This window comes from Homo sapiens, chromosome 15, assembly GCF_000001405.40.
Source record: "Homo sapiens chromosome 15, GRCh38.p14 Primary Assembly".
Lineage (NCBI taxonomy): Eukaryota > Metazoa > Chordata > Mammalia > Primates > Hominidae > Homo > Homo sapiens.
This window is the reverse complement of record NC_000015.10, coordinates 85,895,591-85,901,351: the sequence shown is the minus strand read 5'-3', so window position 1 is coordinate 85,901,351 and position 5,761 is coordinate 85,895,591. Positions and strand designations below refer to the sequence as shown.

At 46.4% G+C, this 5,761-nt stretch overlaps 1 long non-coding RNA gene across 1 annotated transcript; it reads right to left on the bottom strand.

Moving 5' to 3' along the window:
- Positions 1–211: 211 nt before the first annotated feature.
- On the bottom strand, positions 212–2,518 carry LOC105370953 (uncharacterized). Its single transcript, XR_001751742.2, has 2 exons — positions 2,406–2,518; positions 212–1,249 (listed from the first exon to the last, which is right to left on the bottom strand). It is a non-coding gene; the product is annotated as an uncharacterized LOC105370953 (long non-coding RNA).
- Positions 2,519–5,761: the final 3,243 nt, after the last annotated feature.

Here is a 5,761-nt window from a genome sequence, read left to right as displayed (position 1 = left end):
TTTCCAAATTAGTCTTCAAATTTATAGATCGATTCATTTTTGGAACATGATGCCATCTAACACATTAGAGGCACCATGCTCCCGGGGATGGAAGGCTAACCGAAATCTCAGTCAGTCAAGACATCCATCAGTACTCATTGAACACCTACTGTGCACCCAGCCAGGAAGCTCTGAAAGGTCAAGCTCATTAGCAACCATTCCCAATGCAGCCTTTGACACTTGAATGCATTTATTTCCATTTAATCAATTTTGCAAAATCGTGGTCACAATGAGATTCTCATTTAGGGTTAGCGTAGGTTGAGAGACAAAGTCAATGGGTCATTTTTACCTTGTAGCAAATCAAGTATTTTTAATATATAACAATGAGTAAATGTGGCATCAATTATTAACAAAGTGAATAGAAATTGATACAATGAAACAGCTCCCCTATCTCAGTCTTCTCTGGCTTCAGTTCCTTTGCTCTTTCAAATTTGTTAAGCACTGCTAACACTATTTTTGGAATCCCTCATTAATTCCAAATAAAAGAGTCTTGGTTCTTTAATAGATTGGTTCTAGCAAAAGCAGCATGTACCTGGAAATCAGGAGGCACGACTCCTGCCCGAGACTCTGCCAGCAATACAACGTGTGACTTAGGAGAGTCGCTTCTCTGCTCTGAGTCTCAGTTTCCCCACATAGGAAATAGGGCCAATTGTACCTGGCACACGTCTTACAGGGGTTATACAAAATTATGCCTGCCCCCATATTATAGGGATCAAGCAAAAATACACAAGACAGGTGGGAAATAATGTTTAATAACTTAAGAGATGGGAACTGAGTAAATTCAAGATACCCATTGTCCTGAGTTCAAGCCTTCCTGGTCTTCATGAAGCAAAACTATTGTCCTAACAGAAATCCTTGTCGAGTCGCCTTCACGTTTCACTTGGAAGCTGGAGATCTGTCCATTCGCCCTTGTACCATGAAGTGTGGATACAGTGGCAGAATGCCCTAGAGGATCCAGGAGTTATACAGGAATTATCTCATCTGCAGTTAACCCCAGAGATGGCTGAGCAGTATGATGCCACCGTGTTCAACCATATTCAACTTATTCTTCAACTCCCCCGCGGGTGACTGCGGCTCACTGCAGCACGGTAAGTAGGAGGAGACTGCCTCGCTCAGCAGGGCACATCTGAGTCTCCAGCAGCGGCTTTTTTATGAGTTCCCCTTGGCAGCACTTCTCTAGGACTCCTTTACTGTGTAACAGATGCAACTGCTGCAAAATATCAGAACCAGATCCACCCTAAGTAAATGGGAGTGGCGTGCGTGTTCAAGCAAGAGACACAAGCAGTTACCCTGTGACCAATCTCCATAGACAAAGAAATTCTCCATAGACATAAACCCAGTGATGCAGATAAGGAAAGAAGACAAGGAAATGAATTTCATCTCTAACAGGATCATTAAAACCTTGAAAGTGGCACCTAGGAGAATTGGGAGGCTGTTCAGGGTAAAGGTGAATGGTGGTCCTCCCAATAGTGTTGAGGAGTGCAGTGGCCAGGAACCACCTCTAATGACTTTCCCTAGAAAACTCAAGCCCTAACAGAACAATAGGTAGGAAGGTGACCTCAGACTTTCCAGTAGATGGGTCTGGAATCAGAGGCAATGCCTTTGAGCTCACATCTATTGGTCACCCCTGCCTTGAGTTGAGCTCTGGTTTGCCCACCCATAGGGCCACCCTTTCCCCTCCCTCTCCCACCACTCAGCCCCTACTCGACCTTCCAGCTTCCTCATTCCTCCTTTCCCAGGCATCCTCACAGACTGAGGCCACTGTGATCTGAGAACGTTTCATGACTCTGATTTTTTATTATTTCTAATAAATAAAAGCAAATCTTTACCCCCTCTGCTGGCCCCTTCTACTCTCATTCTGAGTTAGACTTAGAAAATCACAAAGCTAGCGGCTGAGTGCGGTGGTTCACACCTGTAATCCCAGCATTTTGGGAGGCCAAGGTGGGTAGATCACATATGATCAGGAGCTCGAGACCAGCCTGGCCAACACGGCAAAACCCTGTATCGACTAAAAATACAAAAATTTCCCGAGCATGATGGTACATGCCTGTAATCCCAGCTACTCGGGAGGCTGAGACAAGAATCGCTTGAACCCAGGAGGCAGAGGTTGCAGTGAGCTAAGATTGTGCCACTGCACTGCAGCCTTGGCGACAGAGTGAAACCCTGTCTCAATAAATAAATAAATAAATTTTTAGGAGACCACATGGTCCATTTGTGTCCCTTGGTTCTGGTTTGCTCAGATCTTGGGCAAATAATTCACTGCCCCTACCTAAGTGTTACTAATTCCATTTGTTAATAACTCCAAATGTTTCTGTTTAGCTTCTCTCCCTGGATTTGGGGTACACAATGAGCAGAATTGAAAATACCTCAGTGACAGCTGCGATCTGGACATTTGGAGAACTCGAGGCTCCACACTGCAAGATGGGGTGATAGATGGGCCCTGAAAATAGAACCCATCTGATGACCTGGAATGAAATGCCAGTAGCAGCCGACACTTCCCCATCCCACTTACATGGCACATGCCGGGCTCCTGCGTGGAACAGACCGAACTGTACCGTCAAACAGGCAGATATTAATTGGAGGCAGTTTTCTGCATGGACAAGTCTGGCATCCACTTCTGTCCAGACACCCAAATGCGTATCACGTAGCAGAGACCCAAGGCGAGATTTTGACCCTTAGGCAGATAGCCAATGAAAGGCTTATCCAATGCAAAGTATGGAGCCACAGGATGCTGCAGAAGGCAGGTCCAGAGCCTCCCCTCAGGCTCCAGCTCACACCCCAGCACTCACCCATCCACCCCTCATTTTAGCATGAGAATCAGTAGCTGTCAGAGTTAATTACAGAGGGGGCTCAGGAGGCTGCTCCCACTGTGGCCTTTTCTCCCTTCTTTTTACATGTTGGGAGGGGCTTAGAAAACGATTTTTTGCTACATCAGTCCCAAAATAGATATTCTCTATATAAGTTATCATTTTTACCACAGCAAGATGCTAAACAACATTTTTCCCTTTTACATGTGTTTTTGAAGTTGTTCTCCTAAGATAAAACGCCCCTGGGAAAAGGTTTCCCCATCGCATGCCACAGAGAGCAGAGGACAGCCAGTGAAAGTGCCCGTTGCTGAGTCTTCACCAGGCCACAGTGAATCACGGATGGCAAATAAACACGCAGACCAAGCTGCAGAGCCAGCTCCCTTTCAGGTTTCTCTGAGGGTAGCTTCTGTAGTCCTGAGCTTCTGACTGGCCATTCCCAAACTCACCGTTGAATTGGGGGATGCAGGCACCGCCTGGCCTAGAGGCGGAGAGAGACAGCACAGCCAGCCAAATCCCAAAGCTCAAGACTCCTCGGGAGTCCGAATGCCTGACAGGATGAAGCCTCGGCATAGCAACAGGCACAGAGGTGAGGCCCGGGAAGAACAATTTTACCAAGCTTTGGGTGATCTCTATGAGAAATGCTATGCTATCATCTAATCAGCGCTAACATTTAACTGCTCCAAAAACATTGTGCAAGTATTTTATCTGGGTGCTGTGGAGAAGACACAGAGGCAGGAACAACCACTGTGGAAGGGGTTCACATTCAGCTGGCCAAGGAAAAAGACCCATGATTAGCGAGAAACCAATTCCAAACCATGCAGTCCTATAAGGTCATTGGGAGGTCAGTGTATACCAGATTCGAAAAAGCTGCAGGAGTTCAAGGCTGCTGTGAGCTTTGATTGCGCCACTGCACTCCAGGCTGGGTGATAAAGTGAGACCCATCTGAGAGAGAGACAGAGAGAGAGAGACAGAGAGAGAGACAGAGACACACACAGAGACAGAGACACACAGAGACAGAGAGAGACAGAGACAGAGAGACAGAGACAGAGAGAGAGACAGAGAGAGACACACAGAGACAGAGAGAGACACACAGAGACAGAGACAGAGAAAGAGACACACACACAGAGACAGGGACAGAGAGAGACACACACACAGGTACAGAGAGGAGGGACAGAGAGAGGGACAGAGATAGAGAGAGAGAGACACAGAGAAAGAGACAGAGAGAGAGAGAGAAAGAGACAGAGACAGAGACAGAAAGAGACAGAGACAAAGAGACAGAGAGACAGAGACAGAGAAAGAGAAAGAGACAGAGAGAGAAAGAGACAGAGAGAGAAAGAGACAGAGACACAAAGAGACAGAGACAGAGCGAGAGAAAGAGACAGAGAGAGAGACACACAGAGAGACAGACACAGAGACACACAGAGAGAGAGACAGAGAGAGAGACAGAGAGAGACAGAGAGAGAGACAGAGAGAGAGAGACAGAGAGACAGAGAGACAGAGAGAGAGACACAGAGAGAGACACAGAGAGAGACACAGAGAGAGACACAGAGAGAGAGACACACACAGAGACAGAGAGAGAGACACACAGAGACAGAGAGAGACAGAGACAGAGAGAGAGACACACACACGGAGACAGAGACACACACACACAGAGACAGAGAGAGACACACACACACAGAGACAGAGAGAGAGACACACAGAGACAGAGAGACACACAGAGACAGAGAGAGAAACACACACAGAGACACACACACAGAGACAGAGACACACACACAGACAGAGACACACAGAGAGAGACACACAGAAACAGAGACACACACACAGAGACAGAGAGAGAGAGACACACAGGGACAGAGACAGAGAGAGACACACACAGGAAAAGAGACAGAGACACACACAGGGACAGAGACACACACACACAGGGACAGAGAGAGAGAAAGAGAGAAAGAGAGAGAGAGAGAGAAAGAAAGAGAGAGAAAGAGAGAGAAAGAGAGAGAGAGAGAAAGAAAGAGAGAAAGAGAGAGAGAGAGAAAGAGAGAGAGAGAAAGAGAGAGAGAAAGAGAGAGAGAAAGAGAGAGAGAAAGAGAGAGAGAAAGAGAGAGAGAGAAAGAGAGAGAGAGAAAGAGAAAGAGAGAGAGAAAGAGAGAGAAAGAGAGAGAAAGAGAGAGAAAGAGAGAGAGAAAGAGAGAGAGAAAGAGAGAGAGAGAGAGAAAGAGAGAGAGAGACAAAAAAAGCAAAAAGAGAAAAAAAAGAAAAAGAAAAAGAGAAAAACAACTGAAGGAATGTTTGAGCTAGACTTTATTCAGAGATAACATTTATTTAGGTACTACTACATGCCAGACCGTAAGCTAATATTATCTCCATTTTACAAATGAGTAAAAGACACTTCAAAATGTTCAGTCATCAAGGGTTAGCTATGCATCACCCAGACCTATTTGCTGCTAATGCCTGTTTCCTAATTGCTGTTTTATTATTCAGCTTCTCCCAATATCAGTCATCCTGCAAGAGACAGAGAGAAGAAGGGGCAGAGGGAACAAAGGATGGACTAGAGCCAAGAGTTAAAGGTAGAAGAGAGGGAGAGACATGTAGAGATGTTGTGCTATTGTCATCAAAAAGCAAGCATTGGCCGGGTGCGGTGGCTCACACCTGTAATCCCACACTTTGGGAGGTGAAGCAGGTGGATCACCTGAGGTCAGGAGTCTGAGACCAGCCTGGCCAACATGGTGAGACCCTGTCTACTAAAAATACAAAGATCAGGCAGGTGTGGTGGCACACACCTGTAATCCCAGCTACTTGGGAGGCTGAGGCAGGAGAATCACTTGAACCCCAGAGGCAGAGGTTACAGTGAGCAGAGATCACACCGCTGCACTCCAGCCTGAGCAACAGAGCCAGACTCCATTTAAACAACAACAACA